The sequence below is a fragment of the Homo sapiens genome, chromosome 9 (genome assembly GCF_000001405.40).
Source record: "Homo sapiens chromosome 9, GRCh38.p14 Primary Assembly".
Lineage (NCBI taxonomy): Eukaryota > Metazoa > Chordata > Mammalia > Primates > Hominidae > Homo > Homo sapiens.
In genome coordinates, this window is record NC_000009.12 from 25,774,818 (window position 1) to 25,795,509 (window position 20,692).

General features: G+C 34.8%; 1 long non-coding RNA gene across 1 annotated transcript in view; it reads left to right on the forward strand.

Annotated features, from left to right (window-relative positions):
• The first annotated feature begins 5,238 nt into the window (after positions 1-5,238).
• Positions 5,239-20,692, forward strand: part of LINC01241 (long intergenic non-protein coding RNA 1241) — a 32,913-nt gene continuing 17,459 nt past the window's right edge. The window contains exons 1-3 of the long non-coding RNA NR_121604.1: positions 5,239-5,351; positions 5,599-5,800; positions 9,598-9,799. This is a non-coding gene — a long non-coding RNA (long intergenic non-protein coding RNA 1241). The remainder of the gene's footprint in view (positions 5,352-5,598; positions 5,801-9,597; positions 9,800-20,692) is intronic.

The following is a 20,692-nucleotide window of genomic DNA, read 5'->3' on the forward strand; positions in this document are numbered from 1 at the left end:
AAATGTCAAATGAGAAAAAACAATGCTGTCATCTCAAAAGTTCCCCAAATGAACATAATAAAATACAAACAATGTTTTGTTTAACAAAATCCTTCAGAAAATAGATGAATATAAATATGGATATTTCCCAACATAGTAAAGGATATTAAATTTAAGCCAAGAATTTATATTATAAACTTACTGTTGCTTTCTTATTAAAATTACAATGAGTTGAGTGTCCCTGGCAGTCAGAATTCTACAATGGCCTTCAAGTTTCATGCCCCCGCTACACCCAGTACACACACACACACACACACACACACACACACACAAAATCTCTTGTATAATCCCCTTCCATTGAGTACAGATCTAATTTATGAAAATGATGAAATATCACTCCCATGATTAGTTTACTAATCAGTTGACCTTGGGTTAATAAAAAGGGGTATTAACCTGGCGAGTCTGAGCAATAGGATTTATGACCTATTGAAACCATGAGATAATAATTGCCTGTTGTTTTAAGTTGCTATTCTGTGGTAATTTGTTATGCAGAAAGAGAAAACTGAAACAGACTGCAAAATATCACCATTGTGGTATTACACAAAAGAAAGCATATTTATCTAAGGAAAATTCTGTGGTAATTAAGTGAAGACTATTTGAACTAATATAAATTAATGTATATATACATGTATACACAGGTATAAAAAAATAAGCTCGAAAATGGACTCATTTCTTGGTAGTAATAAGATAATTCTAAAAACCTAAAACAAGCTAACAAAAAATACATTGGGTCCGTATGTTTAAATGCATGCGGCATTTCCTCTTTCAGTACCACATACTCCTCCTACAACCTCTCAAGCTTCATTTCATCAGAGACGCCTTCCCTAAATTTTATTAGATTGAAGTCAGTCTCTATATGCTCCTGGTGCTTAACATACCTCTTTCGTTTTATCAATTATGATATTAAAATTATATCTTTATATTGCTTGTTCTTTTATTATTATTTTCTCCAATGGATGACATGAAAATCTCTCTTTGGCTCAGTGTTTTTCTTCAGGACTTCTGTAGAGGTTAGCCCTCAAAAATTGTTATGAATATTTATTAAATGATGAGATAGAACATAAATGTTAATTATTCCTAAGTTAGTTTATAGGTTTGGTAAAGTATCAGTTAATGAATAGCACAGGTAGCCCGTAACAGAGACCCTTCATTATGTAGTGAAAATAGTCAACAAAAGATGAAGTAAAAGAGATGTTTAAATGTGTGTACCTGTGTGTGTTTCTGCATTTATTGTATGCCAAGTTAATTTCTGAATTATTGCACGTTACTTTTTTGTTGGCAAAATAAAGGCAGTGTGGTAAAGAAAAAATTGTCATGAATTTGATCAACCTCTATTTGAAGATAAGAAAATATATAAGTATTTAGTCATTCCCATCTAATGTAGAGTCTCAAAGGTAGGGCAATACCTTTGATTAGCTTTAAATCAATATCAATGATTTTATTCTACTGGAGTTAATAGGTATTTATGCAATCAAATAAACCAAGTATATGAACTCTCAAAATGATTATCACCCTTTTATAATTACAGGTAATTACTTATTAGTGTTAATTCTCACTATAGTTAATAATTTATTCAACAAACAGAGCAGACCAATAAGGCAGGACTTATGATGACATATAAAATCAACCCTAGGACACTTGATTAAGGAAAATGACCTTTTAAGGACTGAGAGATCAGTAGTGCCACCTGCAATATCTATGAAGGGGACCATAGTGTAGAGCCAATGAATGAAAAAGCAGGAAATGATGATAAAGAGGATATTTTTTCATAAGAATAGAGAGCAATAAAGGTAAGGTAAATGAACAAGAAAACAAAGAAAGTAAAAGCAAAATTAGCAACTGAGAAAAATGTGGGAGATGAAAATATTAATCACGGGGAAAAAAAGAAAGAGAAACATTCAAATATGAGGAAAGGAACAATGTCCATTATAGGAGAAACAGAAACTTATCATAGAAGGGAGAAAAATAACTGAGTAAAAAAATGAGAGGATAAAGATAAATATAAAGGCAATAAAAAAGTGATAGGCAAGAGGTAATGTAACCGAACGGTACAGACAGTAGAAAAGATGGTTAGAAAACTGATAATATTGGAATGCAAGAGGTAATGTAACCGAACGGTACAGACAGTAGAAAAGATGGTTAGAAAAGACTGATAATATTGGAATGCAAGGGAAACACACAGAGGAGACAGACTGAGAGAGGAAGAATGAAAGTGAGAAGGCCCGGGATACAGTAAGTCAATTTAAGAGAGAAAGAAAACGGAATGAGAAGAAAAATGAAAGTGGATGAATATAAAAGACAGTAGGGGGATATCTGAACATCAACAGGATTAATATTTCCAAGCAATTATTGTAGAAGCAAACAAATGTTCTTAAAATTCTTATTCTACTATAAGTCATAGGTATTCAAGTAATTAAATAAACTAAGAACATTACCCATAAATATAATCACCCGCTTTTACAATTACATGTAATTACACATTAGTGTCAATTCTGATGGTACTTAGTCACTTATTGAACATATAGAGCAGGCCAATAAATGAATGTAAGAAACGACAAAATCAATTCTGTGTGTGCTTGTGCACAGTTGTGCTTGCGAGTGTGTGGTGCTGTCTCTCCTCACCTTCCTTTCCAGCCCTGTTAGGAGGAACTCATTGTAGAGCCTACATCACAGTGTGAGGAACTGATGATTAATGAGGGAGAGTGTTTTCAAATCTAAGGTTCTTCGTGATCGCTAAACAGTAAAACCACAGGGAACAACAGCACACCTGTGCCAGTACTACCTAAAAATGAAAAATGAGAAGAGTGTTGCTTTTTCCTCCTTTGTCTTTCCATAGGAGAGAAAAATCTTTCAAAAGTTGATGGAGATTTTGACATCTGGTGCTAAGCCAAAGTCCCATAACTATTTCATAAATATGCTTCAAAATTTAACATGCTCTCTAGCTGGGTGCCTGGGAACTTTCCTGCATCAAAGTATTTATGAGTGATAGATAAACTACAGTTGTCAAGATGTTTATGGGTGTTTTCAAAAATGGTTTCATGTCCCCCTGCCAGATTTCTATGGGTAGCTTGAACATACTTGGTGCTGCATAGCAACCTGTACTACTAAATAAAAATAAAATTCTGAAATGTTGTTTCAAACATTCACTGAAGTCCATGTTATTTCTGTTAATGCCTTTGTCTTTTTAATGCAGCCCTTAGATTTCCCAATCAATTTTCACCGACTTTCTAATTTGGACTTCAGTAATATGCAGCAATCTCATCAGAAAATACATTTAGCACATGGCTAAATTACTGGGTTGGTATTTGATTTTCTTTGGCATTTTAAGATAGTCTGAGTAAACTGATAGTAAATGCTTTGGGGACAATAGACCTCTTTTATCAGTGTACAGCTTTCCACTCAGTGTTAAATTATTTCTTGAAATGGGTAGTTGGAGAGAATAATACTGAGAAGAGAAACATTAAATATGTTTGACTAAGCTAAGAGCCCCAGAATATATTTTAAATTAGTAGGTTCAGTATTATCACCCTTAATTTAGTTCAGTCACAAATATACTGTGTTGTGGGATAGCACATTTTTCAAATAAACAGGGACCAGAGTAGCAGAATTAGCTGACACTAACTGAATGGCAATTTTAAGGATTTATTTTTCTGTTGAAATGAGCTCCTAGCGATAAATGTAGAAGAGTCTGGAAATGGACTGGTACAATTCAGAAATCTACAGAAGCTCCTTCACTTATGATGAGGGTGCATCCTGATAAACACATCATAACTTGAAAAGACCCTAAGTTAAAAATGCGTGTAATGCCCCTAACCTATTGAACATCATAGCTTAGCCTAGCCTACCTTAAAAGTGATCAGAACAGTTACTGTAGCCCACAGTTGGGCAAAATAATCTAACACAGAGCCTATTTTACAATACAGTGTTGAATATCTCTTGTAATTTATTGGACGGTGAGCTGAAAGTGAAAAGCAGAATGGTTGTATGGGTACTCCAAGTGTGGCTTCTAATGAATGGGTATTGCTTCCACACTATTGCAGTAAAAAAATTGTGAGCCAAATAATAGTAAGTTGGAGGTCATCTGCATTTTTCTATATTTTGGTGACAAATTCTTGGTTTAAAAATAAAAACATCTAGGTGCAGAATTAGAGTGAAATATCAGGGTTGGAAGGGCAGTAGGGCATGGGGGTGACATACACCCAAGGACACATCTTTGAAACCTCACATTCTACTTTAATCTAGCCTTTCCTTTTTATTCCTCTTCTTCTCCTATGTGAAAGATGAAACAGTCCCTAAAGCCAATTTCAGCCCCTCCTCATGTTAGTTCTCAGTACTTCATGATTGTTTAAAATGTGTGATCTTTTCCCATCATTTCTAAAACCTCCTAGATATCTCGCCTTTTCACTGTTATTGCAATCTCTCCAGAACATTGCTGCTGACTTGCAACCCATTCTTCCCCTTTTTTTTTGTCTTTCCATTGGCAAAGTCACATGGTATAGTTGTGAGTCAATACCATAAAGGAACTTTAACATACATATGCATATCAGGATATCAGAGAAAATATGAAGAATAAAGCAACTGTACAAATTTGCAGCACCATCCAAAAAGTGGTAAAATTTCCACCACTGCTGTCTTACATAAATATATTTTTAAAGATTAAAAGCATGTGGGAAGATAAACTAAACCAATCTGTTTCATCTAAATCAGTATGATTTACTTTGTCTACATATTTATAGCCAATTTTTTGTCAAAGTTATTTATACATACACAAACACACACACATATATATATAAAATACACACACACACACACAAACGAATTCCTCAGCTAAGCATATTGCTATATAGATATAGTGTAATGGGTTTTGAAGGATAAACAGTTGTTCCTTTAGGAAACAGAAGAAATAGCCCAATTTTCAATCTACTGCATATATTTTAAGTGAAATTAGTGGGATGTCTTCGTGCAAGAAAGATCCACTAAGAAGGGCGATGGTTGATATTTGGTCTTCATTCAAAAAAGTTGCTTTGACCTCAAGTGAAAGTACTGAGAAGAACAGAAAACAATACTGTATGTTATATTGAGGAGCTGAAGCACATTTATTGTGACACTTGATGATAATATAATAATATGCCTTGGTACCATATTATTTGGTGTGCCATTCTTAGATCTTATGTTGCCATAACGACAGAATATGTGTGTGTGTTTAGTAGAAAGACAATCCTTTTTTCTTCCAGTCAATTTTTTCTTTGATCTACAGAACTTGCTTCTTTTCTCTGAAGTTTTCACAATACAGCATGATAGAAGGAGCACAGGTAATAATTACAGAAACTTCAAGAGAAAAAGAATACATGTTTTAAATGAAAGCGTTAAGCCCCTTGCCTTATGTCCTAAGACACTTAAAGATGATTGAAGTGATTCCTGTCTGTATCTATCATAATGCCCCTTTCCCCTTAACAGGGACAAACTAAAGATACAAAGGTTATGGCTTTCTTGATTAATCTATGTGACAGGGGCAAATTGCCTGTTTTCTTTTATTCCTTTTTTTTTTTTTTCCTATAGAGTGCCAGAGGCAGGGAATTCCTATGCTTCACTAGTGACTCATAAGAAAACTTAATAGAAGGTCTCTACTGCCTGCTGGCCCTGCAGTACCTGATTGATGTGGTCCCAAACTAAAGTAGGCTAACCTTCATTGAACCAAGCACTTCAGAGCCATGGGAAGAAGTATGGGGGAAGGAGTCCTTGTACTCTGGCAATGAGGAAAGTAAGTCTGCTATTTTGCTGTTAGTTGTGTTATCTATATTTTTGAAGACAACCTTTTGTTATCATTGTTACCTGTAGAGTTACTGTATTTTTGTAGTAAGTGTATTATCTGTAGTAACTGTATATTGTTGTTACTGTATTATCTTAGTAGTTAAAAAATATAGGTCTCTGTGAAACCCTCAGTTTTCTAGATTGTAACATGGATTTAATAACATATAATATTTTTGGTGAGAATTATGTTAAATAATCTATGCAAACGTTTAAAAGACTACCTACAAAAAACTTTGAGTATAATCAATGATAATTACCATAATTACATGAAGGGACGTGGAAAACACTGAAGGGGCTCTTTAGGCTACTGCTGAGCTGATGACATATACTCTTTACCCCTGAAGTCACTGTGCCCCTTTTCCTTCAGTACAGAAGAGTTCATCAAGTTTGCATTTGTTAATCCAGTTCACATTTGATAATCTTCTTGCTAACTATCACCCATGACCCCAAGCCAACACAGTAAGCTGTTAAGAGGCACTATGCTAGGTATTTAATACTTCGTAGCATTTACCATGGTGATGTTGGGCAGGGAGTTACTTATAAAACCATTATTTTAGATATTTTACAATTTCAAAGAAACATCACATGTATTTTCAGTAGCAAATATGTACACATATTTAATATTAGATATGAATATCTTATCAGTGGTCCTCAAATCCAGCTGTGCATCAGAATCACCATGGAGAGTATTACAAATGTAGGTTTATGGGTACCCCAACACTGATGTTATGATTTGGTAGGAAAAAAGTAGGGCCACAAAACCTACATCTTGACAACTTCTAAGACTAATCTGATATAAAATCCAGTTTGAGAATTAGAGTTCTGTAGTAGTTACAGTACTTAAACTTATATTAACTTTGTGGTAAACACACACACACTCAAACACATACACACTATTTGCTACTTTTATTTTCCTTCTCCTCATGTATTTACAGCAATGCTAAGAAAGAGACAATATGATACCCTACATAATAAAACATAGGATGTACTGTATTTGCTTTTAGCACAATTGAAAGACATGCCAGAAAAAAGTAGACCTGAGAGAAAAATATTCTACAATGCTTTGCAAAATTATCATTATTTTAATCATGTAAAAAGGACTGAATTTAATTTTTGCAAGTTTTTCTTTTCTTTGCATGTTAAGTATTGAAATATCTTCAATATTGTGATCTCTTCCAATGTATCTCAGGAAAAAGCAAGGGCTATATTCTATCATTGTGGCCTATCTTTGTATTTCTATTTATGAGGTAGGCCATCATTACAACGTTAAGTAATTAATGAGATATGACCAGTGAAATTATTATGGGGCTTTAAATCATTTAAAGTTTATTCAGTATTATTACATCTTTGACAAAGGAAAATAAAATTCATGATGAAAATGAGAATTACAACCTCATCTAAGCTAATCTAACTGTGGTTTTAAAATATCACTTGGATCAATTCATTAGCTCTCCCTGATAACTGTCAGTCTCAATATATAGGTGACTGACCCAACTTTATAGTATTCACCATAACTCCTTAGCTACAGCTGACAGTACTGAAAATTGTGTGGGATTATTTCTCCTGTGTGTAACGTGGTCCTGCATATTAACATTGGCTAGTTGAATGCATGTTCCCTAAAAGCATCCCTCCTTCAAATTTGAGCTCCATGTAATGTGTTTACATTTTATTTTCTTCAGTTTCAATTAACTGGCCAAATCCAACCTAACCTTGTAGAGGAAACAACTAGTAACAGTGTTATCAAAGGACTCAAACAGGCATGCGTGTTTAGACATTTGGTATATTCTGTTCTGCTTATGTACAGGAGATGGTTCATGAAGCCATTTGAAAAAGTTGCTTTCCCACTTACAAGCTAAACTCTGTGTGACAATTTTTTAAGCTATCCCCATGCATTCGAAGCACTTGGGGCTTTTCTTGCATTCTACATTTTTCAGTATGTGTGCCAGCTTGTCCTCTATCCTCTGAATTCACCCAGTTCAAGTCCTGGTTTTAAAAATTTTATTAATTATACTCTTTTAAAAGCAAATGTCATAAATTCTATGTAAGAATAAATACACAGTTGTGACTGCCCATTTTATTACAGTAACTGTGATACTAAGAAATAGAGAACAAAAGTATGCAAACTTGGGAATTAAAATGACTTAGATTTTACTCCATAAATCTGTGGTAATCTTGGGCCAGTTCTTATTACACTAAGCCTTTGTTCCCTCATATGTAAATGGGAATAAATATGCTTATCTTCTGCTTCACAATGTGGTTATGAGTTTAAAATAAGGCAATTTATGTGAGGATGCTTTGGAATTGTGAAGCATTATATAGAAAAATTATGTTATTAAAATAAGTAACTTCCAATTTAATATCTCAGTTGTATAGAGTAAAAGATTGAATAGGTTTTTGTATATAGCAGATTTGGCCAGGAATCAGTACCATGACTTCTGTGAAATATGGTTAATAATGTCTAAAAGTTAGGACTTCTCTGAAGATTAATAAGATCAAGTTTATCTCTTGACTGCCTCTCCCCTCCAATCTCTACTTCCTAAAACCCTGTTTTCCAAATCCATACATCTCAGGCTTTTGCCACAAAAGTTTGATTTTATAAGCATATATCTGTAAAAACACACACACACACACACACACACACATACACACATACACACATATATATAACAAGCCAACAAAAATCCTCCTCTCTGGTTTCCCATGGAAGCTATGTATCTCCATCATGAAATGTCACCATGATGATTTTATGTTTTTCACTGACTACTAGGTTATACCGTAAATTCCTTGAAATATAGGACAATTGACTTAATTTGCTTTATATTTTCATGATCTGACACCTCATATACTTAACACTCAATAAACATTTTTAGAATTAAAGTAAGTAGCTCAGCAATGGGCATTCAATTTCACATGAATTCATGTGAATTTGAATGCCCATTACTGAGCTACTGACTACAGAAACTGCGTTGTAATTCTTACTTATTAGATTAAATCCAACTTCTTCTCTGTTATTTGGAAATAATAAAAAAAACCCTGATGTTATACTGAGTGTTATAGTAAGATACATTTTATTCAGAGAAAGTGTTTTTCTGTAATAAGCTGTTTATTACAGTAAAATTCCGTTTAAAACTTCTGCTATGTATTAAGAATGATAACACTATTTATCCTTAAGATGTTTGTCCTACACCCAGAGGACATACAGTCATATATTATATTGGAAATATTATTCATGCCATTTAAGTTCCAGAACAACTGCAAGTCCCACCCAAGCAATTAATACATCTTTTTATACAATAGTCATACAATCCATTAAGTGTGTTTACCCACAGTGGAATTGTAACTGGGATGGACGATATGAAATCAACCTTATAACTTCTCAGAAACTCATAGTTGCACAATAGCAAGAATGAATAAAAAGGGAAGAGTCTCACTCTGCCCTCCTTTTTTTAATCTGTGAAATTTGAAACTAAAAAATTAATCGTTTTCTTCAAGTACAAGTAGGGTTTGGAGCTCCCATGGAGTGGCTTGCCCAGCAGCCTTTCATCCCCTTATTGAATCTCTGAAGATACATGCAATGCACAGTGAAAGCACTACCCTCCACTTTCTGCATTTTCTTGGTCTTTCCTTTCCATTCCCCTCAAAAGTATATAAAAGCAGATATCAGGGATTGAGGGAGGTAATGATCATGATTGGTAACTGAGGTGGGAAGCACTGCCTATGATCCTAAGAAATGTTACTTTCCCCCAGACAAACATTAACAGTGCAAGACACAGTGAGAGTCACAGATCCATGGATGGACGATCCTTTTGAGGACAATAGAGGGGGAATTTGGATAAGTTTCCTGAGTGAGAAACCTTCCAGATGGCAATCTGAAAGTTAGCTGTTCCTTCTCAAAACACAGAGCTTTCTCAAGAGAAAGATAACACCCTCTTTCATCAGAGCGAGCGAGGTAAGTTTTCAACAGAGTTATTCCGGAATTGGAAAACAAAATGTGTGCAAGGAGTTTGTTGTTGTTGTTGTTTGTTTGTTTGCTTACACAACATAGTAGAAATACCTGATGTTTTGCAGTTGAGGCAAAACATCCTCTAACACAAGAATACAATGTTTACAAGGCATCCGAGGACCTTTCCAATCAGGAATAACAGCACAGAACTCAAAGAGGTCAACACAGACTAGAGTACGAAGCAAACCAGAAGGGGTTATGAGTCTCATGCTCTACCAACTGAGCTAGTCAGGTGACCATAGAAGAGAAACAGGACACAGAAGTGACCCAATTACTTCCCAGTCCTCAAACTGGAGTTAGGACTCATCACTAATAAGGAAAATTGCTGATTATTGTTCATACTTGAATATGGTATGTAGGTGATTATGTATACATTTAAGTTAATCAGTCACTGCATTCATTTAACCATTTTGAAATTCAGTTGTTTTTAATACATTTATTTGATTGAAAAGTTAAGATTAAAACAAATTAAAAACCCAAATGTACATCAGCAATGGATCATTCTTACAATTCTATACAATTGAATACTAATAAACAATAAAAAGAAGAAGCTATAGTTACACTAAATAAGGATCTTCAGTAAAAGAAGTCAAACACAAGTTTATCTAATATTTTATTTATATTAAGTTCCAAACAAAAAAACTACTATACTGTGATACAATGGTACATATAAAAATGGATAATGATTTTTATGGGGTGTGTGTGACTAAAAGAGGCTATGGAGGTTGGGGGGCCTCTGGATGACGGTAATATGATTCTTTGATCTAGATGCTGGTTACTGGGATTTTATCACTTTGGGGAAATTTTACCAAGTTACAGAGAATGACCATTCATATGTCATCTTTCATTTGAAAGAGTTCAAAATAAATAAACACACAGGTCATGAATGTAATATATCGAAGAAATACATGGCAGGACAATTTTCTTGTCAACAGCTCTCACATTTGACATCCCAACCAGCATACTCCACACGTCAATGAACAATTTGCCAAATCCAAATATCCTAATATTTCAAATTTGATGCTTTGGTTCATTTTGTTCCCCCAGCTTGGATGATCTACCTTTTCTCTCCCCTGGAGAAACCAAGTTCAAGCCACAAAGCCCATATAATATTTCTCTGAACTTAAGAGCTCTTGATCTGAACATCTTTACATCTTTGATTATCTCTAAATGAACTTTTTTTTTTTTTGAGACAGAGTCTTGCTCCTTCACCCAGGCTGAAGTGCAGTGCTGCAATCTCAGCTCACTGCAACATCTGCCTCCCAGGTTCAAGCAATTCTCCTGCCTCAGCCTCCTGAGTAGCTAGGATTACAGGCACACGCCACCATGCCTGGCTAATTTTTGTATTTTTTTAGTAGAGGTGGGGTTTCACCATGTTGGCCAGGCTGCTCTCAAACTCCTGACCTTGTGGTCCGCCTGCCTCAGCCTCCCAAAGTGCTGGGATTACAGGCATGAGCCACCACACCCGGCCTGAATGAACTTTTTTTGGTGCCTATTCCAGTTTGTGTGCTTGTCCTACTCTTTCTCTTAAACATGAAGTTTCCTTAAGTCAGGGGCTATGCTTGCCATCTTTGTATTTCCATCTAAAGTACTTGGCATAGCTCCTGGCCTATATTAGGTACCATAGTCTGTAAATATTTGTACAATGGAATGATACTTACAGCCATTTTTGACGGCAATATCTTTATATTCCAAACAATTTTTGAGGTCATTCTGCAGTTCCTCAGAAGGCTATGATCTTTTAATCTATGGTCAAGGATAAGATTATTTGCGGTACTTCATCACAGTATAACATAACAGCAAACTTTAATTGTTTAATATTTCATTCTGCAAGATCTGCCTAATAGACGGAAAAAATGGTTCCTTTCTTATCGGAGTGAATGTTCCAGGGAGACTACTATATATATATGTGTATATATATATATATATATATATATACACATATATATATATGTATGTATATATGTGTGTGTATATATGTATATATGTGTATATATGTGTGTATATATATGTGTGTATATATGTGTGTATATATGTGTGTATATATATGTGTATATATATGTGTATATGTGTGTGTGTGTGTGTGTGTATGTATGTGTGTATATATATATATATATATATATATATATATATATATATATATATCCTGTAACTATATTGCAACAAAACAAATTATCAACTCCACTCACGCTGGGGCTGAAACTTTCTACCTTGATTTGCATTCACTAAACAACTCGGGCTAAGCCTAGCTCTAAGAATCAAATCATTACTATAAATGTAATGATCTGTTATGCTGCTCTCTCTCTCTCTTCATGATTGCTGTTTTTCTTCCTTGAACCTGGAACGCAAAGAATTAGGAGAAAGTTGCAAGTCTAGAAGGTGAAATCAAGGATATATTCTTCATACTATCACACAAAATTAAGGAAGCTGTGACAAATTTTTAATCAGAAGGGGCTCTATCTGCACTAGACAATACTATTCTCTTTAGGTCTGTTTAGATAGAGACCAGTTCTGTCTCTTGGTTGAGGGGATTATCATAATTTTCATTTTTTATTTCAGAAGGCTCAATGTCTCTACAATTTCTTTTTGTACCTCAGCAGTCAACTAAGTCATGCAGACAGTTTTTTACATAACCTTCCCACCTGCCACTTGTTTGGCACATTATACTGCTTGGGAGAACAGTGAACCAGCTGTAAACAGGTCCTGCAGAGAAGCTTCCAGATTGCAGCAGTTTAAGTTCTGATTGCTTGCTTCCCTCCTGGCTATGACATTGTTTTTCCCTAACATTGAAATACCATTATTTTCTTGATACAAACTTTGTTTACTGCTTGTGATCGTGTTGCCTAGGGTTTCGAAAAATTAGTGCCCCTTAAATAATCCAAGAAGAAAAAAGATCATCTAAGAGAAAGCACAGTTACCATGCAGTATCTTTCAAGGCTTGAAGCTGCACCGATTAGAATGCTTTTCTGTGGTTACATATCTTCATCTGCCATATTGGCTGGAGACAAAAAAAAATGCCTTCTCTCCATTTTACTCACACAGATTTCTAGAAACTGACTTTTGCTCTCAAATATGCAGTATGCAGAACTCCTTGAGAAATAACATTTATCTAAGATTGAGCCTTCACAATTGTAAAAATTAGTGCACTCATCATCTTGCAAAAGAGCTTTCAAATGAAACATAACAAACCTAACTGGAGAGCAGGAAAAAAAAAAAGGGGGTCAGGGAGACGGGACTGGATTACAGCAGCAGATAAATATTTTTCATTAAACATCAAAAACAACATCTGTTACTCTCTTTAATAGTGTGAAGATTTCACTTTATTAAGTTTGGGGTGGTTAATGACTTTCAAAGTAATTTGCAATTTAAACATGCCTCTATCTAGTGACTAATTCATGACAGTCTTCAGCATTAACTATCAATTTTATTAACGGTTTCTCTCTCAAAAGTGAAAAAGTGGTACATCATTTCCTTGAATTGTGATAATAAGAAATAAATGGATATTCTAAAAATATTTAGTCTGTGACTTTTCTCAATGTTTCCCATTTCTAAACTTTCCCCTTTTTATCCGAGAAAGGAATATCTGGGAACTAAAGAACAATTGATTAGTAAAAGCAAGAATCTCTTCTTTTCTCCTATATTATTTGTCTCCAAATTGCCAGCTGATGGTGGTCATTACATTTCTTGTAATGACGACTTTATTCACAGAGCCAGGCTCCGCCTAAGTTCTTCAGTGAATGCAGATCAAAGTAGAAAGTTTTAACCCCACAGTAATGCAGTTGACAACTTGTTTTGTTGCAATATACCTAGAGCATGGGTGAGATGATGAGAACTCAGAGTATGCTGAAGCCACAGTGCTTGCCTGTACATTCCCAACCTTCACTGTGAGTTTCAGCTTCAGCTTCTTATCACCCACTGGGGCTGTGCTCTCAACTCCAATGTGATTAGCTGATGCTCTTAGTAATGTCTTACCCTCAAAAAGGCTGGAAATTATTTCTTATTTTCAACCAATACTTGAAGTCAATACAACAGAAACATCAGTCCATTTCAAATTTGTGCTTATGATGTTCCTCAGGAAGACATGATACCACTGATAACCTCACCTTGGTAGTCAACCTGTTCTCTCCCTAGTTTTGCCTAATGTTAATGAGAGAATATTAACATTCTCTCTTTATCCACTTACCTATGTCAGTTAAGTCCCAGCAGGTTCCAAGTCAGCTTAGTGTATCAGTAATTTGAAATATATATTTCATTAAATATGAATATATATATATAAAATCAATTGTATCCTTTATTTCTTTATCCAAAACCAATTTTTTTTTTTTGGAATTCAGAGGAAACATGATTCCACATTTAGAAAAGGTAAGAGAAAGAAGAAAAAGAAGAAAAGAAAGCATTTTCTTTCACATGGAATATTGTATAATTGCCCCTCTTGGTACTGTTTATTTTTAAACTTAACTAAGTACGTTCAAATAGACCTCAGTTCCTAAATTTTTTACAAAATGATAATTATATTTCCCTTCAAAAGATCTATAAGATATTCAAATGAGGGAATTACTAAAGTCTTCTTTTACAGTATCCCCTAAAGATAGAATTGGTAGAGTCTGATGGGTGAAGAAAATAGTCTAAATCAATCCTGGTATTTCTTTGCAACCTCATATTTTATTTGAAAGATTCATGAAGATTTTGTATTTGACTCCCTAATGTAGGTGAGTAGGTCTTCTGTGTCTGCATTTAAGATTTTTCTTTTTTTGCATTAGCACAAGTTTTGAGCAACTTACAATATGCACTGTTACAGTTTTCTTCACGTTTCCAATACTTGGGTTTTGCTTAATCTCTTTGTTCTTTGAGTTTATAGTCTTCTCTGAAATTTGAAAATATGTTGGACATTATTTCTTTGCTTGACTTCTTTTGTATGTAGTTTAAAGAAGATACCACAAACTTGGCATTTAAAGTGGCAACCCTTTATTTGTTCACAGCTCTATAGGTCAGAAATCCAATAAGGCATAGAGAGGTCTTCTGCTTAAACTGTTGTGTCTGACTGGGTTCTCTTTTTTTTCCTCTTTCTTTTGGAGGCTCTGGGAACAAAATCTTCTAAAATCCTTTTTGTTGGCAGAATTTAGTTCCTTATGATTTTAGGACTGCTTTCCCCATTTCCTGCTGGCTATAAGCCAGGAGGTGCTTTTCCTCGATGCTGCCTGCTTTCCATGACACTTGGCCCCTTCTATCCTTGGGCCAGCATTGATATGCTGAAGCTTTCTTATGCATCAGATCTCTGACTTTCTCTTCTGCAACTGGCTAGAGAAAGCTCTCTTCTTTCCAACACTTTATGTGATTAGGCGAGGCCCACACAAATAATCTTCCCATTTAAAGGATAGTTGTGCCTTATAACCGAATCAAGAAAGTAAAATCTACTGTATTCACTGTCCTGGGGATTATATAGGGTGAATACACCAGGGGCTGAAAAATGTTGGGGCCATATTAGAATTCTATCTACCACCTTAGCTATTATTTTGTGCCCATCCTCTCTCTCATTGAGGGATTCTCATTACGTGCATATTCAGACTGCGATGCGGTCCTGCAGCTCGCTGATGCTCTGTTAATTTTTTTTAGTCTATTTTCTCTCTGAATTTCATTTCCAACTATTGCTGCTGCTATATCTTCAAGTTAACTACTCTTTTCTTCTACCATGTGAAATCTGTTAATTACAACCAGTGTATGTCTCACATGTTGTAGTTGTATTCCTAGAAGTTTGAATGGGGTTTTAAATATCTTCCATGTCTCTAACTTTTTGAATGTATGTAATACAATTATAATTGCTATGTTTAAGTCTTGACTATTAATTCTAAGGCATGTGTCCTCTCTGAGATGGTTTCAATTGATTATTTTCATAATTATATTCTGTATTCTCCTGCTTATTTGTAAGCCTGGTAATTTTTGCTTGGATATTAAGCATTATAAATTTTATTTTGTTGTGCCTAGATATTTTTGTGTTTTTATAACATCATTGATTTTTTTGTTTTGGTTTTTGTATTCTCTGGGACACAGTTAAGTTACTTGTAAAATACCTCATCCATTTGGACCTTGCTTTTAAGATTTGCTCTATAGGACTAGAGCAGTAAACAGTCTAGAACCAGAGAGGTGACAGAAATTAAGAGTTCAATTTTGGATGTCTTAAGCTTTAGGTGCTTGTTAGACATATGAATGATGCTACAGAATAGGTAGTTGAATATATGCGTCTAGTTTCAGAGCATAGATTAGTGATGGGAATATAAATTATCTTAATAATGCAAACAAGCAATTTAACACACACATAACTGTGTGTTATTTAACTGAAGGAGTCTAATCGATAGGACTGGCAGAAAAAGGACACTCTGACTTTTTATGTCGTTGTTGTACCATGGTTCAGTATTTTTTCAAAGTGTGGCCTCTGGATCAGCAGCATTACCACCTGGAAATTTGTTAATAATGCAAATTTGTGACTCTACCTCAGGCCTACTGAATCAGAAGTTTCAGGAGTGGGGCCAGCCATCTTTTTAAATAAACCCTCTGGATAAATCTGATAAACTTAAGTTTGAGAGCCACCCATTTTGCCAATAAATGCTAGAGAGTACTTTGTGGATTACTGTACTGTCATCTTAGCTGCCAGGTCTCAAAAAAAGCAGATGTTTCTAGATGAGGAATAGAGAAAGGACATTCTATGTCAGAGGAGCAACCCGTGAAAAGGCATTGGGTCTAAATGGCATTCACATCAATCCCTCACTATTTAGAGTAATTTATATAATCTTTTTTAATTGAAAGAGGCACTCTGAGCATCCCTAAGTGTCAGTTTCTAATCAGGGAATTCAGTGAAAATCCTTTTCCTCCTAAAAATTTTATCTGAGCTTTCTAGAAAATACAATGTTTCAAAATACAATGTCAAAATACAATGTTTAAAAAATCCCAATTTTACAAATGTTTGTACGGTTGAAATGTGTAAATTGAAGTAATAATTATTCAATTTCTAACCCTATATTTACTTTGAGACTATGGACAAATCAGAAATTCAATTTTCCAGATATTTTTACTACTCTAACTTTTCCTACAAGAGCTTAACACATGCCTAATACATGATAAGTATTTAACGAATACTAGCAAATATAATTTGTATTATTTCAAAAGCACTGACCGTTCCCTTGGTGCATTTTGAAGAGTGTCACAGGGGCTCAGTGATTCATAGCTAGTGTTCTAAGTAATCTCTTCCATTTAGGTAGTACGCATTTGCATACCATAAAAGTAGAGCATGATTAATTGCATTTATAGCCCTAAGAAAGTGCTATTTTGGAATAAATATGGCCTGCCTGTAAAGGTATTATTAAATACCACACTTTCTTCTTTCTCAAAAGTAAAAGATAGATATTACCTGTCTAACTTCTCCCTAGATGGGCTGGATCAGACACTTATAAGGGGAGCATAGTGCTGAGACAAGGTCTACGAGGCCAGAAATGTTAAATTGGCTGTCAGGTACAGGGATATAAGTTCAAGATTAGAAATAAAATATGAAGGCAAATGAAGACAGGAAATGGGGGTAGACGAAGAGTTAAGTAGGACCAAGCTGAGCCAGCCCAAGATTAGGTGAACTGACCTGGACCACTCCTCTCACCTTCCCAGAACTCCACCTTGATGACTGGTTTTGACAAAATGCTTTACTTAGGATCTGGTGCACACTCTCTTCCACTTCTTAAATAGATGCCTGTTTAATTCATGTTTCAAGCAATTTCAAAACAAAAATTTCTTACTTCAATACAGGTAGGTAATCCTGAAATGGATTAAAGGTTACTATTTCTGTCAAAAGCATCATTCCACTTATGCCTGGGCTCAATATTTTACAGTTATACTATTAATTCTCTTTCATTAGCCACATCTCCCTTCTCACTACTTTTTATTTTATTATTTATTTATTGAGATGGAGTCTCACTCTGTTGCCCAGGCTGGAGTGCAGTGGTGTGATCTCAGCTCACTGCAACCTCTGCCTCCCAGGTTCTAGCGATTCTCCTGCCTCAGCCTCCCAAGTAGAGACAGGGTTTCGCCACATTGGCCAGGCTAGTCTCAAACTCCTGACCTCAGCTGATCTGCCCGCCTCGACTTCCCAAAGTGCTGGGATTGCAGGTGTGAGCCACCGCGCCTGGCCTCCATTTTGTTTTTAATGTGGTGGAATACATTACATTTTTGAGTACAATACAAGACACTAAAAAAAGTGTAAAAAACTTATGATGCAGTTACATTACTCAGGCACCAGGCTTGGACCCACCCATGGTCTAGGAAGTTGAGTGGTAACCACCTACCATTAAAGTTTTTCATGCCAAAATGATATTTTTCATAAAGTGCTATACAGAAATCTGGGGTTTCAATTTGTTTACTCTTCAAAAACTTTAACAGATTGAAAACTCTGTTGTGGAGAAAACTGTGGATTGGTTGCAAATATCCTTGGAGGCTACCTCTGTGAAAAAGGGTGACTGCCCTCGGTCTGGGCAAGAAAGAAAATCAGCCTGTCAACTTTGACAGTAAAATGCCCAATGCAACTTCTTGTTCAGCTTGTTTCTAAAACATATAAATCCCTTGTTAATCAATAATACAGCACTCAGTCACTAATTTCAGAATAGAATTATGAATAAGCTGTGACCCAGCATTTCTCAAAGACTGCTTGGAACATCTAATACTTAAGAAAGATAGCTTAATAGGCATGTAAATCTTTTAATTCTCTAGGTTCAATAAATTATATCCTGACATTTAGATAACCAGAAATAAGGTACTAGAGTAATATTGCCTCAACTGTTCTTAGGAATCTCTTTGTTCATGAGAACATCAATTATGCACTGAATGATGCAAAATGCGGGAGATACTATTTTGGGTACTTTGGAATATCACAGGAAAAGGAAACACAAACCATTTAAGATGGCATTTTCTGACTGCAACTCTTAGAGAGGGTTAATAGCAAAAATTTTCATACATAGAATATTTGTGTATTTTTAAAAATCAGTATTAATTAATACTATTAATTAACATGTATTTTATAATCGATGTTGAGAAAAAAAGCAAAATAGTTCTTATTTTTATCCCACAGACTAATTTAATAAATATTTATTGATTGACTTCCATGTATAATAGAAATATGACGGGAAACCAGGCAGACATAATCCCCATCTCGAAGAAAAATATACTAAAGAAAGCTTGGGAAAATTACAATTAAAGACATAGCCATATTAAAGCTTTAAGACCGTTTGAAAAATTGTAAAATAATCAATTATAGGTAATGAAGCCTGAATAAAATAATGGGAAATTCATTACACCTAAAAACTTAGCCTATCGGAAGCTATTCTTTTTAAGGACATAATTTATCTTTTATCTTCCTGATACTAATATTTACTCTGAAAAAGACTGAAAAGTTCATATAATTCCTTCTTATTGGCAATGATGATGACTTTATTTCTCCAAATACAACCGTTTACTTTAAAAAAGTCAAATGACGAGAAATCCTTTACTAGTCCTATTTCTTATTAAGTCACATAAAGTGCAGAACTCGTTGTACATAATTATCTCATCGGATCACCTTTATTTCTCTACTCCTATTTTTTGTTGTGATTTTATATTGTCCATTTTTAGGTTACCTTCTTTACTGTATGTGGTTTCAAACTTGCAAAGACAGTTTTTGGAAGAAGCAAAGCATAGCAAACTTTATTAAAGATGTGCAAACACGTTGAAAATACATTCCACATATTAGGTAGAAATTCTCCATTCCATATTAAGTGTAGTTTATTTCTTAATTCCATATGAAGGGCAGTTATTTCCATATTAAGTGTAGTGGCCACCTACAACATTCACAGAGTGTATTACTTATGCCCTTTAAGAGCAAGCACCACCCATTATATATGCGTGTATATTTTTGTGTGACCTGTGAAAAACTCTATTAGGACCAACATCAGTTTTCCACTTTCTCTTTGTTAACGAAGAGACTTGATCATGATTTGGTGAAGTAGGTTTTGTGAGTGGCAATGCACAGAGGCCAGGGCAGTGTATCATGTATATTGTGTCCTCATTCTCTATATTCATAGCCTTCATTTCAGCTGGGGCTGGACATGTGGTCCAGTTTTTGCCAATGATGACAGAGAAAATCTGATGAGAGGATTTCTAAAAAACTTTTTCTTTCTTATAAAAAGTTCACAGAATTGTCAGGCACTGCCTTTTCCCCTACCTTCATTGATTAAGAGGCCACGTCAAAGATATGACATATATTTTGTGACTGTGAGACATTACCCAAGATGGAAGCCAACAGCCTCAGAATGTTGGAGAAAAGTTCAAGATCCCAGATGTCAGTGGGTAGAGGAAATGGGGAGATGTCAAAGGGTATAAACTTCCAGTTATAAGAGGAGTTAAGTTCTGGGAATCTAATGTACAGTAAGGTGACGATAGTTAATAATAATATATTGTATACTTGAAATTTGTCAAGAGAGTAGATTTTAAGTACTCTTATCACATATGCATAAAAGAAAATTATGTGATGTGACAGATATGTTAATTAGCTTGATTATGGATAACATTTCACAATGAATATGTATATGAAAAAATCATGTTGTACACATTGAATATATGCAATTTTTATTTGTCAATTATACCTCAATAAAGCTCAAAACAAAATACTGATGTTATGTCATTTTTAAGAAGCTGAACCAGCACTAGCAATATCTGCTATGGTCTTCTTACCATGTAAAAGAGATGAACAACCATATATTTAGAAAAGTATTAGTTGGGGTTTCAGTTTATGGCAGCTGAATGCGTTCTTAACTTATGCACTTTCATACC